Source organism: Homo sapiens, chromosome 4, assembly GCF_000001405.40.
Source record: "Homo sapiens chromosome 4, GRCh38.p14 Primary Assembly".
Taxonomy (NCBI): domain Eukaryota; kingdom Metazoa; phylum Chordata; class Mammalia; order Primates; family Hominidae; genus Homo; species Homo sapiens.
This window is the reverse complement of record NC_000004.12, coordinates 103,144,073-103,161,550: the sequence shown is the minus strand read 5'-3', so window position 1 is coordinate 103,161,550 and position 17,478 is coordinate 103,144,073. Positions and strand designations below refer to the sequence as shown.

The 17,478-nt window shown below is 34.1% G+C and overlaps 1 protein-coding gene across 17 annotated transcripts in view; it reads left to right on the top strand.

The window, feature by feature from the left end:
- CENPE (centromere protein E) overlaps window positions 1-17,478 on the top strand; it is a 92,533-nt gene that overhangs the window by 36,793 nt on the left and 38,262 nt on the right. For 11 of the 17 annotated variants that reach the window (XM_047449541.1, XM_047449533.1, XM_047449536.1 and 8 more), the window contains 15 exons: window positions 94-216; window positions 300-465; window positions 772-926; window positions 2,227-2,541; window positions 2,665-2,937; window positions 3,093-3,251; window positions 8,301-8,504; window positions 10,174-10,332; window positions 12,143-12,433; window positions 12,552-12,707; window positions 13,905-14,195; window positions 15,444-15,722; window positions 15,870-16,028; window positions 16,217-16,501; window positions 16,933-17,220. In XM_047449541.1, coding sequence (XP_047305497.1) covers window positions 94-216; window positions 300-465; window positions 772-926; window positions 2,227-2,541; window positions 2,665-2,937; window positions 3,093-3,251; window positions 8,301-8,504; window positions 10,174-10,332; window positions 12,143-12,433; window positions 12,552-12,707; window positions 13,905-14,195; window positions 15,444-15,722; window positions 15,870-16,028; window positions 16,217-16,501; window positions 16,933-17,220 — 3,303 coding nt within the window. The remainder of the gene's footprint in view (window positions 1-93; window positions 217-299; window positions 466-771; window positions 927-2,226; window positions 2,542-2,664; window positions 2,938-3,092; window positions 3,252-8,300; window positions 8,505-10,173; window positions 10,333-12,142; window positions 12,434-12,551; window positions 12,708-13,904; window positions 14,196-15,443; window positions 15,723-15,869; window positions 16,029-16,216; window positions 16,502-16,932; window positions 17,221-17,478) is intronic. The other 6 variants (XM_047449534.1, XM_047449535.1, XM_047449540.1 and 3 more) reach the window with 2 other exon arrangements.

The following is a 17,478-nucleotide window of genomic DNA, read 5'->3' as shown; positions in this document are numbered from 1 at the left end:
AGCTAGAGTTAACATTTATATACATGTTCTCTTAAGAATTTTCCAACTCTGTGAAAATTAGATTTCAGTGAACCCCTTTTGTCATCTGTCTAGGAAAGCATTGAAGACCCAAAACAAATGAAGCAGACTCTGTTTGATGCTGAAACTGTAGCCCTTGATGCCAAGAGAGAATCAGCCTTTCTTAGAAGTGAAAATCTGGAGCTGAAGGAGAAAATGGTAAGTATTTTTTGTAATATTTATAATAAAGTAGTTGTAATGATCAGTGTATTTTTGTGCATTTGCAATGTTTTTCTCAATAGAAAGAACTTGCAACTACATACAAGCAAATGGAAAATGATATTCAGTTATATCAAAGCCAGTTGGAGGCAAAAAAGAAAATGCAAGTTGATCTGGAGAAAGAATTACAATCTGCTTTTAATGAGATAACAAAACTCACCTCCCTTATAGATGGCAAAGTTCCAAAAGGTATTTTGTAATTTTAAACATCTTTTTTCAAATCTGACTTCTTCTAGAAATGTACCTAAACAATTTGACAAGCATATTTCAATGATTAAAAATTCATTATACTCTGACTTTTTAAAAACTCAATATTACGTTTTAGTTTCATTTGGTATTAATATTTATAAAGATTTCCATGGGTTTCAAATCATAAGGGATTATTTTTCAAATAAACTTTACCTGATCCTGAAAAAGGTGATTCAAGGACAATTAAAAATTAAATTACCTGTTTGGCAACATTGGATCTTTATACAATTTACCAAAACTTTCTAGATTTGCTCTGTAATTTGGAATTGGAAGGAAAGATTACTGATCTTCAGAAAGAACTAAATAAAGAAGTTGAAGAAAATGAAGCTTTGCGGGAAGAAGTCATTTTGCTTTCAGAATTGAAATCTTTACCTTCTGAAGTAGAAAGGCTGAGGAAAGAGGTAAACACATTTATAAGCACTTATCCCTTATTTTGAAATAAAAACCTTTGCGATAATAGTGCCTTAAATATTTTGGTATAGTTTATTTTAAACTAGCAGACAAGAGAGATACTGTAAACGTTTTGACTAGTTAGAAATAGAAATGAATATAGTTCATCTTCTAATTTGTTCTTATGCTACTAGATTAAAAAATATATTTTTTCAAGGTGTATTTAACAGAATACTTAGTAATATAATCCATGTAGCAGCCATTTCTGTAGTCCTCAAATGTTGCATTTATACAGTATTACGGCCCACCCTTAGTCTTTACCATTTTTTTTGGTAGTAGTAGTATCATTATGTTGAATAAAAGACAGTAATGAGGGAAAAGAGGTTGCACTGATAAAGTTTTAGAGGTTAATGCAAACCTTGCAGGCTGGTGAATGTTTCTGTAAATCCATGGCCTGCCAGTTTTTCTTTCTACTTGTCTAAAAGAAAAATGGCAAAAATTTGAGTACTTACTGTATGGCAAACATCATGCTAAAGAACTTCAAAAACATTATTTCATTTACTCGTCTTATAAACTCTTCAAAAATAGGTAGTTTTTTAGTCCCAATAACCCATTATCAAACTCATAATTGAGCCACATAAATCTGCCTCCTAAACCCGTGATTGTAGCTACACGCTGTATTGCCCGTCTTTACTTTGTCCCTCCTTTATCTCTTCTTTTTTTCTCATCTCTCTCTGCCCTTATCTTTCACAGTGATTAAACTGTTAATATACAAGATATGGGTTATTTAAATTATGTAATTATTTAAATATTACTTAAGTGGTACTTCTATTTTTATTTTTTTCATGGACCATACCACTTAAGATACTTCTTAAATAACAATTTTAAATGATTAAACATTACTTAAATTATTCATTGATTAAGTTTTTGGAAACCTGAGAGGCATTCAAAGCCTTTAGGGAAAAAAATGTCAAATTCTGAGAAATGCCTGCCACATGATAAAGTTAGAAAACACTTTAAAATGATAGGTAAGGAAATAAAGACAATCTGATTATGTGCCTTTACTATTTTCCATGCAGACCTTACTTTCTAGAATACAAAGAGATTAGAAAATAAAACATCAAAGGTAGAGTTAAACAAGCTGAGTTAGGGAAAAGTGACAATAAGAGTACTACTATATTGCCTTTCCACAGTCAAATTTTTGCTGAATGTAAATAACTTCTCTTTTTGCAGAGAAAGCTTTTTTTCCTAAAAATTGCTTCAGTGAATCATATGTTGCTAACATCCCTAAATTTTATTTCTTTTCCATAGATACAAGACAAATCTGAAGAGCTCCATATAATAACATCAGAAAAAGATAAATTGTTTTCTGAAGTAGTTCATAAGGAGAGTAGAGTTCAAGGTTTACTTGAAGAAATTGGGAAAACAAAAGATGACCTAGCAACTACACAGTCGAATTATAAAAGCACTGATCAAGAATTCCAAAATTTCAAAACCCTTCATATGGACTTTGAGCAAAAGTATAAGATGGTCCTTGAGGAGAATGAGAGAATGAATCAGGAAATAGTTAATCTCTCTAAAGAAGCCCAAAAATTTGATTCGAGTTTGGGTGCTTTGAAGACCGAGGTTGGTACAAGATGCTATTTTGAGAAATGCTCCTTAGTCTTCTGGGGTTTTGGTTTCTGTATATATGTATGCCTCAGACTGCTCTGCTTTTACTGTGTGACATTTACTTTTTCTTTTTTAAAGCTTTCTTACAAGACCCAAGAACTTCAGGAGAAAACACGTGAGGTTCAAGAAAGACTAAATGAGATGGAACAGCTGAAGGAACAATTAGAAAATAGAGATTCTACGCTGCAAACTGTAGAAAGGGAGAAAACACTGATTACTGAGAAACTGCAGCAAACTTTAGAAGAAGTAAAAACTTTAACTCAAGAAAAAGATGATCTAAAACAACTCCAAGAAAGCTTGCAAATTGAGAGGGACCAACTCAAAAGTGATATTCACGATACTGTTAACATGGTAAGGTTTTGATTGATTAAACTTTGAAAAATTGGAGACTCTTAAAAACATTGCAGAGGCCATCATTTATTATTTATGATTATGTTATGTAGTAGCTACAAAATAATTTTGTTTCATATTCTAATGGAAATTGTTTTTATATTTTTCTAACAAAGAATATAGATACTCAAGAACAATTACGAAATGCTCTTGAGTCTCTGAAACAACATCAAGAAACAATTAATACACTAAAATCGAAAATTTCTGAGGAAGTTTCCAGGAATTTGCATATGGAGGAAAATACAGGAGAAACTAAAGATGAATTTCAGCAAAAGGTAAAGGGTGTTTATTTTCAGAGTTTTCATATGCTTGTATATATACTCTTTAACCTCAAATACTTAAATGCATAATATTCTCAATTTCATTTGTTACTCACAATGGTAATAACTAACAATAATTTTACAAGCTTATCCCTAATGCCTTTGAAATAACTTATGATAGAATATGTTTATAATCAATTAGAAAGGGAAAGGGCCCAAAAATGTATTAGTCCAAATTTTGCATAGCTGATACTTATTTTATGTCAAATTTACTATACTAAACTTGCTTAGAGTTTAAAATTCAGTCCATTGCAGAGGGGATTGCCTTATAACGTTATACCAGGGTTTCATTTATTAACAGTATTCTTTTCTACTTTCCCACAACACCTCTAAGATATATTGGTAACAGTAATTTTGTAATAACATGTCTCATTTTTATTATAGTTCATATTATTTTATCCAGAGTATTTACTGCTAGAATTTTAAAATATTCAATAGGAGACTGGTGAAATAATCTTTTGTAAATATATAGCTTGGAATAGTATATAGTAGTATATATTTTTTAAATTGGTAGTAAAATACACATAACATAAAATTTACCACCTTAACCATTTTAAGTATATACTTCACTAGTGTAAAATTCATTCACATTGTGATACAACCAATTTCCAGAATTCTTTTCATCTTGCAAAACCAAAACTATACCCATTGAGCAACAGCTCCCCAGTTTTCCTTCCCACAGACCCTGGCTACCACCATTTATTTTTCTGTCTTTATGAATTTGACTACTCTGAGTACCTCATATAAGTGGAATCATGCAGTATTTATCTTTTGTGACTGACCTGTCTCATTTTGCATAATGTCTTCATCCATGTTGTAGCATGTGTTAGAATTTCCTTCCTTTTTATGAGTAAATTTCCATTATATGTATATGCCACAGTTTGCTTATCTATGCATCCATCATGGACACTTGCGTTGCTTCTACCCATTATTGGCTGTTGTGAATAAAGCTCCTATGAATGTGAGTGAACAAATATCTCTTCAAAACCCTGCTTTCAGTTATTTTGGATATATATATCCAGAAGTGGAATTGCTAGGTTATATGGTAATTCTATTTTTAATTTTTTGAGAAAGCACCATAATGTTTTCCATAACAGCTGCACCATTTTACTTCCCACCAACAGGACAGAAGTGTTCTGGTTTATATGCACCTTTGCCAACACACTATTTTCTGTTTTTTTTTTTTTTTTTTTTTGATAGTAGCCATCCTAATGGATGTGAGGCAGTATCTCATCGTGGTTTTGAGTTGCATTTTCCTAATGATTAGTGATGTTGAATCTTCGTGTGCTTTTTGGCCATTTGTTTATCTTCCTTGCAGAAATGTCTATTTAAGTCTTTTCCCATTTTTATACTGGGTTGTTTGATTTTTGTCATTGAGTTGTAGGAGTTCTTTATACTTCTGAATATTACCCCTTTATCAGTTATATGCAATATTGCAAAAATTTCCTCCCATTCCATCGGCTGTCTTTTTACTCTGTTGATTGTATCCTTTGATACACAGAAGTTTTTAATTTCAATGTAGTCAAGTTTATTTATTTTTACTCTTGTTGCCTGTGTTTTGGTGTCATATCCAAGAAATCATTGCCAAGACCCTTATCATGAATCTGTTCCCCTATGTTTTCTTCTAAGAGTTTTGTAATTTTCACTCTTACGTTTAGGCCTGTAATCCATTTTGCATTTATTTGTATATATAGTGTAAGGTCAGGGTACAACTTCGTTCTTTTGTGTGTGGCTATTGTTTTCCCAACACCATTTTTTGAAAAGATCATCCTGTCCCCATTGAGTAGTCTTGGCATCCTTGTTGAAGATACTGTGACCATATACACAAGCATTAATTTCTGGTCTTTCTATTCTGTTCCAATGGTTTATATGTCTGTCTTTATGCTAGCACCACATTGTTTTGATTACTGTAGCTTTATAAGTTTTGAAATCAGGAAGTACAAGACCTCCAACTTCGTTCTTCTTTTTCAAGATTCGTTTCCCTATTTGGGGCCCTTTAAGGTTCTATATTAATCTTAGGATAGATTTTTCTAATTCTGCAAAAGACACCATTGGGATTTTGATAGGGATTACATTAAATGGTAGATTGTTCGGTAGTATTGATGTCTTAAAAATATTGTCTTCTAATCCATGAACATGGGATGTCTTACCATTTGTGTCTTCTTTAATTTCTTCTCAGCAACATTTACAGTTTTCAGCAGATGTCTTTCACCTCCTTGGTTAAGTTTATTCTTAGTATTTTGTTCTTTTTTGATGCTATTATACATAAAATTGTCTTAATTTCTTCTTTGGATCGTTCATTGTTAGTGTACAGAAATGCTACTGATGTTTGTACAGTCATGCATTTTTAACAGAATACATTATTAAATAAAAGCAAATACACATTTCAAAGTAATTCAGTAAGATCCAATTGATATAAATAAATATCTGTACATTTATATATTACTTCTATAAAATGAGCTGCATTTTCCCCCATTTACTCCGGGGCAAAATACTGCCTTGGAAAATGGAACTTTTTTTTTATTTCCATCTCCTTATGCTTTAGTTCTTCTCTCTCACTTTTTCTGTATCTTATGTTCTCAGCTTATTTATAATTTGGAATAACCATAGGCCAAAGGCATTTGACCTCAATTTGAAATTTACCCTCAACACAATGGCTTATGCCTGTAATCCTAGTACTTTCAGAGGCCAAGGTGGGCAGATTGCTTGAGTCCAGGAGTTCAAGACCGGCCTGGGCAACATGGTGAAACCCCGTCTCTACAAAAAAATACAAAAATTAGCCAGGCATGGTAGCAATGCACCTGTAGTCTCAGCCACTCAGGAGGCTGAGGTAGGAGGATCACCTGAGCCCAGGAAGGTTGAGGCTGCAGTGAGCCCAGATCATGCTGCAGCACTCCAGCTTGGGCGACAGAGTGAGACCCTGTCTAAAAAAAAAGAAAGAAATAATAACTTCCACTTTTATGATGGGAAAGTTTTTTTAGTAGACTTTTGACAATAATATATGGCAATCAATAACTGTTTTAAACAAATCCAAAATGCAGTTATAGAGACAATAGAAGATGAAGGGAAGAGTAGAGTTATACTCACTGGGAACAGCTAAGATCCTATGTTACCAAGTATATGCTGGAGTCATTTATCCATGTTGATAAAAGGATGTAGCTGGGGCTTTTCTGAGGCCATTCTGTTCACCAGGGATCCTAAAGTCTGGGATGGAAGGCTGAGATCAATTTGGTCTTGTATCATGCTCATGCTGGAATCTGCCATGGGAATAAAAGAGTGGAAATGGGGATTTCCAGGTGCTCCCCTGTTCATCTAGGCACCAGAGAGCTGCACTAGCAGGTCTATCATGAATCTCCTTGGAATGCTCATTTTTAGTCCTACTTGATGTGTCTGTTTCTGGAAATGCAGTATTTTTAATGTATCTCAACAAAAATATTTTATGATTAGTAAGCTTATTCTTATATAAAGGACAATTTTTTTCCTTTTTCACAGGTTCTAATAATTTTTTATTTAATAATTAGATCTATTAGATTTTATTCATAACTGTGGTAGTTGAAGTACCTTCTAGGCTGAGTTCAGATTTGAAATAAACCTTGGCTATCATTACAGAAAATTTTGTCTCAATCTGCTTTGTATTTGAAAGATATGAGATTCTGAATTATAATATCTAACAGACTAGTCCCAAAAGACTACGTGTTCCCTACCTTAATTTCTCATGTAGTTAGCTCTGTGATCACTGTTATCTTCTAGAAGCTCATGCATATTGCCAACAATAAGGGGGTTGCTAAATAAAGTACAGTTTATATCTACTCTAGAGAATCAAGCAGCTACTAAAAATTATTTGTAGGTTACATAACAACATGTGAAAATACATATGATCTAAGTGGAAAAGATAAAAACTAAAAAGAATCACACATATAAATTCATTATAATAGCTATGTTTAAAAAACAAAAAAACAAAAAAAAAACCTTTAATGGAAAAAACTCCAGAAGTAAATTTACCAGAATTCTAATAGTTTGTTGTGTGAAGTTGGTGACAGTGGATGATTTTTATCCTTTATTTTTCTATTGTTTTCTAATGTGATTATAGATTATTATAAAAACTTTTAAATACCTGTGTAGGCAATATGGAGCTGTTTGCTGAACTAGTGTAATGTCATACAATAATACCCTAAATTTGTACCAGCAATAGTAATTTCAGTCTCTGTCTCCCTTTACCAATAAGTTCACGTATTAGGTTACATTTGGTCGTGACTTATTTATGAATAAATGAATTTATATAACATTTTTCTTAAGCAGTATATAAAATATACATATATTAAGAAAAGATGAATTTCACCCTTATGAAATAGATCTTTATCAAAATTATTTATCCCCCTACATATAATAAAACTCCAGCCTTTTGTAAGTAGGACTGCCTCTGAAAATAAAGATTTGCAGGGAGTGGGAGACAGGGAATGATTCCCAGCTTTTAGGAGGAAATAGATAAAGTGATAGAGTTCAAGATTGCTTACTCGTTTAGTAGTAAATAAACAAACTACTACTAGAATGAAACTTGGAAAATATTTATGGAAGATGTGTACAAACTAAAGGCAGATATCCTTTAATTAATGTATTAATGTCATTGAAATAAGTAAACATGCAGAATCATGTTAACCTATCATACGTGAAGACAATTATTAATATTTGTAGTTGTCCATATTGTTCTGATTAGTGAACAGACGTAAGAGCACAAACTTTGGAGCCAGATCACTTGGATTCAAAACCTAGCTAAACCTCTGAGTGACCTTGGGCAAGTGACTTTACCTCTCTCCAGTTCAGTTTCCTCATCTGTCAAATGAAGATTATGGTAATACCTACCTCATAAAGTTACTGTCAAGATTAAATGTGTTAAGATATGAGAATAGTACCTGGCACATAATAGATGTGTTGGCTATTTTTATTATTTTTTAAAGTTGTTGTTAACTACTTAAGAAATTCTTCTGTAATGTGTTTATGTTTTAGATGGTTGGCATAGATAAAAAACAGGATTTGGAAGCTAAAAATACCCAAACACTAACTGCAGATGTTAAGGATAATGAGATAATTGAGCAACAAAGGAAGATATTTTCTTTAATACAGGAGAAAAATGAACTCCAACAAATGTTAGAGAGTGTTATAGCAGAAAAGGAACAATTGAAGACTGACCTAAAGGAAAATATTGAAATGGTAGGATTTAGCACTGTATACTTGGCATTACCTTTTTGTCTTCATTTGTTTCAGATTTTTATCAACTTTATTGAGGTATAATTTATATACAATAAATGTATCTGGTGGAAGTGTATGGTCTGACGACTTTTAACAAATGTCTCTACCCATTTCCTCTTCACCCCAGTCAAGATAGAAGATGTTTCCATCACCCCCAGAAAGTTTCCTCACACCTCTATCACAGACCCTCATCACCTCCTCCCCGCCAGATTATCAGTCCTGATATGTTCACCTTAAATCATTTGTCTCTTCTAGAGCTTTATACAAATAGAATCATACAGTATGTAGTCTCTTATGTTTGACTTTCTACACTCCCTTTTACTGCCAAGGAATAGTTCATTGTATTAATACGCCATAATTTTTTTATTCTTTTTCCTATTGATGGAAATTTGGGTTCCGTTCAGTATTTGGCTATTTTGAATAAAACTGCTGTAAACATTCTCGTACAACTCTTTTTATTTACATAGCTTTATTTACTTAAGGTAAATATCTAAATGGAATTGCTGTGTCACAGGGAAGAATATGTTTAACTTGATGAGAATTTGCTAGACTGATTTCCAAAGTAATTATATCATTTTACATTCCCATTAGCAAATTAAGAGAATTCTGGTGGCTCAAACATCCTTCTTCACCAACACTTCATATTTATTGGTGCTTTTAATTTTAGCCATTCTAATGGGTGTGCAGACTGTTGTTTTAATTTGCCTTTCCCTAATGACTAAGATGTTGAACATTTTTTCTTATGCTTCTAGACCATTGTATATCTTCTTCTGTAATTTGTCTGTTCTCAAAGAGGTATGTTGTAGATTTTCAGTGTATAGGTCTTTTAATATTTTATTAAATTTGTTCCTAAATGTTTCTCTTTTTTTTTGCTGTCATAATTTTTAAATTTTATTTTTAATTGTTTGTTGTTGATGTCTGCCAATATTTTCACACTTAGGTTTTCTATGTTTAGGGGTGATACAATGTGTATAAGTTTAAATAAATATTTGGAGAAGTTCACTGTGGATCATAGTAGAATGCGACCATTTGTATTGTTTTAATTTTATAAGTTTTGGGGATTGTCTCCTTCATCAAAAGAGCAGAATGTAAATAAGCACACAAACAAACAATGGTATTTTCTTCTCAGTCTCTGGCTTGTTATGTTTTTGTGGTCTTGATACGTGAGAATGTCACTGTGTGAGCCTAATAACCAGGATCAGCCCAAGTCATGCTAGCAGAGGGTGGCTGCCATTTTGAGCTCGCTGGCAGTGATCTGTGCTAAAACCAAAGCCATCCCAGTGTTTGAAAAAACTATAGCTGTAGTCTCATTATTACTCAGTGATAGCTCAGAAAAAGTCTCTTTTGACTTAAAGGTAGAAATAAGCTAAGCTCTCATGATAGAATGTTAAATGCAATTCTAATTCTCATGGTAGGAATGTAAATTGAGCAGTAAAGAAACAGTATAAAAAGCAGATTCTTGGCATCTTATATTATTAAAATAAGGACTTTCTTTTTTGAAATTTGTCTTTTCCTATATAGTTTTCCCTGATTTCTTCATTTGCAGACTGAGAGAAATGCTGATGTTTTACCTGATTTCATAAATGTTAGCTAATATTTACTTTAATCTCAACTTTTTTTTTCTTTCTAGACCATTGAAAACCAGGAAGAATTAAGACTTCTTGGGGATGAACTTAAAAAGCAACAAGAGATAGTTGCACAAGAAAAGAACCATGCCATAAAGAAAGAAGGAGAGCTTTCTAGGACCTGTGACAGACTGGCAGAAGTTGAAGAAAAACTAAAGGAAAAGGTGAATTTTTAAAGTTATTTCCCTGGCCATTTTTTCTAACTAAACTTTTTTTTTGGTAATTTTTATTTCTGTAGACCTAAATCCAGAAATAGCACATACCTCCCAAATGAACATATTTCAATGCTAGTATTTTGGACAATTTTAACTTACACTGAGATCTAAACTAACATACCTTATGAGGATTATATTATTCCAGAGTCTTTAGGTGAGAGAGGGCTTTGTATCATTTAAACAAATCATATGATGTATTCATTCATCAAATATTTATTGAGCACTGTCATGGGCCACGCACTGTTTTGGGCACTTGAGATATATTAGTCAACAAAACAAAGATTCTTTCCTTGCAGAGATGCATTAGTCATTTTGAAATGTAAGATTTATCACTATTACCATCTCTTAGATGTTTGCAGTTTCCTGAATCATTTCTTATATAGAAGTTAGGTGTTATTGGGATATTTGTGTAAGAGCTAAGACCCCTGTAACAGCTGTAGTTCCCAAGAGATTCTAAAATGCACCCATAGAGATCTTTCTATATAAGCTAAGGGCAGTGCCACTTGCATAATAGATAATATAGTACGGTTCTGTTATTATTCTGTGGAATATTTTTTCTTTTTTCTTTCCTCCTTTTTTTTTTGAGACAGGGTCTCACTCTGTCACCCAGGCTGGAGTGCAGTGGCATGATCACAGCTCACTGTAGCCTCAACCCCCCCTGGGTTCAGGCTGTCCTCCCACTTCAGCCTCCCGAGTAGCTGAGACTAAATTAGCTGTGCCACAACACCCAGCTAATTGTTGTATTTTTGGTAGAAACGAGGTCTCACTGTGTTGCCCAGGCTGGTCTCAAACTCCTGGGCTCAAGCAGTCTTCCTGCCTCAGCCTTCCAAAGTGCTAGGATTACAGGTGTGAGCCATCATGCCCAGCCTGTTTTTTTCTTAATATGTGTTTTCTTTTAATTCTGATCCCTTTCACTATCTCACCTAATTGAGTTTACTAAAACCTTATGTCTATTTCATACTCCTATAAAAAAGGTAAAATCAATAGCCTGTGAAGGTTAATGTCTCAGTATTTGGGGGAGCCACCCATAAGCATCTTATTGGAAGTGAAAATAAATTCTCCAAAAGTTTTTTAAGAGGATGAGGAATTATAGTTATTTGGTAGCTGTATTTGTATATTTAATTAGTCTCTTTGCTTTTTTACTTTATCTCATCTTCCCCTTATCTCCTTAATCAGTTTATCTCCTTAATCAGCCTGTATCAGTTTCCTAGGGCTGCCATAGCAAATTGCTGTAAACTTGATGGCTTACAATAGAGACATATTCTGTCACAGTTCTGAGTCCTAGAAGTCCAAATTTAAGTGTCAGCAATACCATATTCCCTCTGAAGGCTCTAAGGAAGAATCATTCCTTACTTCTTCCTAGCTTCCAGTGTCTCCCAGCTACCCTTCGCATTCCTTGGCTTGTAACTGCTTCACATGACCTCCTTCTCTGTGCCTCTCTATGTGCTTTTATGTCTCTTATAAATACACTCATTGGAATGAAGACCTACTCCAGTAGGATCACGTCTCAATCCTAATCCAATTACATCTGCAAAGACTCTATTTCCAAATAAGTTCACATTCTGAGGTTCCTGGGAGACATGAATTTTGGGTGGGACAATATTCAAACCACTGCAGACATTTATGCCTGTGAGTTTCATTTACTTTTAATGCTACTTACCTATTTATATGCTGATAGGAGGCAAGGCTGTTAATGATTTTGTGTAAGAATTTTGAGAATATAAGTAAAATGGTAATTATAAAAATTGTGCATTTTAAGAGCCAGCAACTCCAAGAAAAACAGCAACAACTTCTTAATGTACAAGAAGAGATGAGTGAGATGCAGAAAAAGATTAATGAAATAGAGAATTTAAAGAATGAATTAAAGAACAAAGAATTGACATTGGAACATATGGAAACAGAGAGGCTTGAGTTGGCTCAGAAACTTAATGAAAATTATGAGGAAGTGAAATCTATAACCAAAGAAAGAAAAGTTCTAAAGGAATTACAGAAGTCATTTGAAACAGAGAGAGACCACCTTAGAGGATATATAAGAGAAATTGAAGCTACAGTAAGTTATACCCTTTTCCTTCATCTATTAAGTGTTTCTTTTAAAATCTGAGCCACTTGGAAAGAGGGGAGCAATGTTGGAAGAATATTACAATATTCTTTAAATTTCACTCGCCAAGGGCCTACAAACCAAAGAAGAACTAAAAATTGCTCATATTCACCTAAAAGAACACCAAGAAACTATTGATGAACTAAGAAGAAGCGTATCTGAGAAGACAGCTCAAATAATAAATACTCAGGACTTAGAAAAATCCCATACCAAATTACAAGAAGAGGTATGTCTTTTATTCCTTTCATCCTTTGTCACTTCTTCCTTCCTTTCTCCTTTGAAGGAAAGATAAGCAGTAAGAAGTAGCTAGGATGTGGTTCATTAATTGACTGGGTAAGTATTTGTCGAGTGTTTAATGTGGCAGGCACACTCCTAGGTTATAGAAATGCAATGAGAACAAGGTGGACAAAACCCCTAAAATCCCTCTGATCCATTTGTAGTGAAAGAAAGTAGCTGATAAATAAGCAATCAAATGAACAAGAAAACATTAAATAGTGGTAAATGCTATGGAGAAAGTGAAACATTGGGATTACTGGGCCAACCTGTATTAAAAGCCTACTCCATGCCAGACATTGAGACTGTAGATATAAATAAGACATTGTTCTTTCCCCCCATTATAAACTAGAAAGAAAATCCCTTAATTCCAATATGGTAAATGCAGAAATACGCAAAATTACATGGTACCACTAATTTATCATGGAAAGAGAAATCAATCTATACACATAGAAAAATTGAGACATAGCATTGGAGCCCATCTGAAAATGGAGATCATACATTTATTGGGATATAGTTTGCTCAGCTATGGTTTTTCTCTTATAGCTTGGAAACTAGTGGAGAAATAAGTATGAAACAGACTGCTAGCAAAGTATAATTGGTTCACTTTGGGTCTAAGCTACAAAGAAAGAAAAGTATGACAGAATGTGACCCAGAAAAGTCATGAATAGCTTTAGCAGGAATTGAGGGAAAATGAATAATGAGCAGTTTGTGATCCAAGGTAGGCCTGAGGGTTCAAGATGACTTTCCTTGCTGTGAAAAGTATCCTGATCTTTTCCCTTTAAAAATTTATGATAATGGCCAGTGGGATGCGGTGGCTCACACCTGTAATCCCAGCACTTTGGGAGGCCAAGGCAGGCAGATCACCTGAGGTCAGGAGTTTGAGACCAGCCTGGCCAACATGGTGAAACCCCGTCTCTACTAAAAATACAAAAATTAGCCAGGCATGGTAGCACACACCTGTAATCCCAGCTACTCAGGAGACTGAGACAGGAGAATCTCTTGAACCCAGGAGGCAGAAGTTGCAGTGAACTGAGATTGCGCCACTGCACTCCCACCTGGGCAACAGAGTGAGATGCCGTCTCAAAAAAAAAAAAATTATGATCATAATCTCCTGATAGTAACCTTGGTATTTTATGAATGTCCTAAGATCCCAGTGCTTCATGAGGAACAAGAGTTACTGCCTAATGTGAAAGAAGTCAGTGAGACTCAGGAAACAATGAATGAACTGGAGTTATTAACAGAACAGTCCACAACCAAGGACTCAACAACACTGGCAAGAATAGAAATGGAAAGGCTCAGGTTGAATGAAAAATTTCAAGAAAGTCAGGAAGAGATAAAATCTCTAACCAAGGAAAGAGACAACCTTAAAACGATAAAAGAAGCCCTTGAAGTTAAACATGACCAGCTGAAAGAACATATTAGAGAAACTTTGGCTAAAGTAAGTTTCGTATTTTCCTCCCATTTTAACAAGTGTCTTATAAGAATCAAGGCTTGTGTTTGTGTTATAGTTATAATGTTTGTATTATAATTATGTTACCAGTTTTTTTAATGTCTCTTAATCATGAAATGACTAGAAACAGAACAATTAAAAATTGCTCTTGAATACCAAGAAGGTATTGAAACAGAGAGAAGATGTTTCAGAGAAAAGAACTGTTTTCTTAAATATTCAAAAAATAATTTAGAAAAAATAATTCTAAATTACAAGAAAGGGTGAAACCAAATATGAGATTGTTTTATTTTCTTTTTTAAACCTGTTCCTTTAATGTTTCATAAAGCACTACTGTGCTTTCTCATTGTTTTAGTCAGAAATCTGGGAGCTATCCCTACTAATATGCCTCCTTCTCTGCTTATTCTGTAATCCAGTCACCAAATCTTATTGATTTGAGTGTGTATTTTAAAAGTCATCCTGCTTTTCTCTCCACACTGCCACCACCCTAATCCAAGTCAACATCATTTCTTTCCCTGGCTATCTGCAGTAGTCTCCTAACTGGTCTTCCCACACTCATTCTTAGACTTCTCTAATCCAGTTTCTATACTAAGCCTAAGTTATCCTTTCTTACATTCTTTTAATATCTTATTGCTACTTTTTAAATAAAGACCAGGATCCTTTATGTGGCCTATGAGGCCCTAGGTGCAGATCTTGCCGGTCTTATTTCAATTCATTCTTCTTCCTATTCTTTGTTCTCCAGCAACTCTCTTCCGCAGCTCATGGCTTTCAGATTCTCAGGTCTCTCTACCTGCAGTACCTCCATACTCCTTTTTGCCTAACTAATGCTCTTATCCTTCAGATCTCAGTTAAAGCTTTCTCCTCTAGGAATCCCTTCCTATCATTCACAATAGATTATATTTGACACTTGGGCCGTAGGAGAAGCCAGCATCTCTATTTGGTAAGATTCAACATCATATCTATCTTTGTCCTTGAAGTATAAGTCTCAAAAAGAGAGAGATCCTGTAAGTCTCATCATTTTGTCTCCAGCCTCGAATAAGATGCTGACAACACAGTGAGACCTCAATTTTTAAAAAGCATTAAATGCCTGAATAATGGAAGAGTGGGAGAATGGAGAGATTGCTCTGTAAATGAGGCACTGAATCCTGCCTTAATTGTTTTAGAAAGCATCCTGATTTATTTTCCCCTAAAACACAATATCTCTGGATATCAACTGTACTGTTTTATGATTCTCTTAAGATCCAGGAGTCTCAAAGCAAACAAGAACAGTCCTTAAATATGAAAGAAAAAGACAATGAAACTACCAAAATCGTGAGTGAGATGGAGCAATTCAAACCCAAAGATTCAGCACTACTAAGGATAGAAATAGAAATGCTCGGATTGTCCAAAAGACTTCAAGAAAGTCATGATGAAATGAAATCTGTAGCTAAGGAGAAAGATGACCTACAGAGGCTGCAAGAAGTTCTTCAATCTGAAAGTGACCAGCTCAAAGAAAACATAAAAGAAATTGTAGCTAAAGTAGGTTTCATCTTTCACCATGTTTTTAAAAAATATTTTGTAACCAAATATTATTATAAACCCTAAATATTTGGAAAGGGGAGTTAATTACAACAAAATAGTTATAATGTTTCTATAAATTTATTGGAATTTCCTCTAATAATAAAGCACCTGGAAACTGAAGAGGAACTTAAAGTTGCTCATTGTTGCCTGAAAGAACAAGAGGAAACTATTAATGAGTTAAGAGTGAATCTTTCAGAGAAGGAAACTGAAATATCAACCATTCAAAAGCAGTTAGAAGCAATCAATGATAAATTACAGAACAAGGTAAATTGGGGATGAAGAAACAGTGGGAGGAAATGGGTGGGTTTGGAGTAGCTAACTGAATTATGAAGACTACTATTTGGCATGCTTAATTGTTTTGGGAAGCAACCTTTTCCTCTTAAGTTGTGTATGTGTGTGTGTGTGTTTACATATTTTTATGACTATTAACTTATTTTATAATTATGTTTAAGATCCAAGAGATTTATGAGAAAGAGGAACAATTTAATATAAAACAAATTAGTGAGGTTCAGGAAAAAGTGAATGAACTGAAACAATTCAAGGAGCATCGCAAAGCCAAGGATTCAGCACTACAAAGTATAGAAAGTAAGATGCTCGAGTTGACCAACAGACTTCAAGAAAGTCAAGAAGAAATACAAATTATGATTAAGGAAAAAGAGGAAATGAAAAGAGTACAGGAGGCCCTTCAGATAGAGAGAGACCAACTGAAAGAAAACACTAAAGAAATTGTAGCTAAAGTAAGTTCCCATCTTATTTTTTTTTTTTTTGGATACAGAAATAGTGTTAAGGTGATAATGACGGTGTTCATGTTAAGTTTTATTAATTTTCCTCTAATCATAAAGGGACCGGAAATAAAAGAGGAATCAAAAACTGCTTATATTCAACTGAGTACCAGTAAACTGTTAGTAGACAGAATATTTCAGAGAAGACAGCTCAAGTAGCAAATATTCATTGGGATTTAGGAAATTCTGATGGTGAATTACAGGAAAAAGTGGGACTTGTTAAATTGGAAAATGACATCTAATTATTGTTACTCATATCCCTTATGAAAGAAAGTACTACATACATTAGATTACAATGTAAAAATGATTGCCTTATTTTAGGAACAGTTCTTCCTTTTCCTAAAAAAATTCTGCCTATGTTGTAACTTACTTTATAATTTTCTCAGATGAAAGAATCTCAAGAAAAAGAATATCAGTTTCTTAAGATGACAGCTGTCAATGAGACTCAGGAGAAAATGTGTGAAATAGAACACTTGAAGGAGCAATTTGAGACCCAGAAGTTAAACCTGGAAAACATAGAAACGGAGAATATAAGGTTGACTCAGATACTACATGAAAACCTTGAAGAAATGAGATCTGTAACAAAAGAAAGAGATGACCTTAGGAGTGTGGAGGAGACTCTCAAAGTAGAGAGAGACCAGCTCAAGGAAAACCTTAGAGAAACTATAACTAGAGTGAGTTACCATCTCTCTACACCTCTAGTAACTATGACATTGAGTCCTAAGAGAAAAATCTGCCATAGGGTTGGTGGGAGTATAAAATTGGTCCAGGCCGGGCGCGGTGGCTCGAGCCGGTAATCCCAGCACTTTGGGAGGCCAGGGCGGGCAGATCACGAGGTCAGGAGATCAAGACCATCCTGGCTAACATGGTGAAACGCCATCTCTACTAAAAACATAAAAAATTAGGCAGGCGTGGTGGTGGGCGCCTGTAGT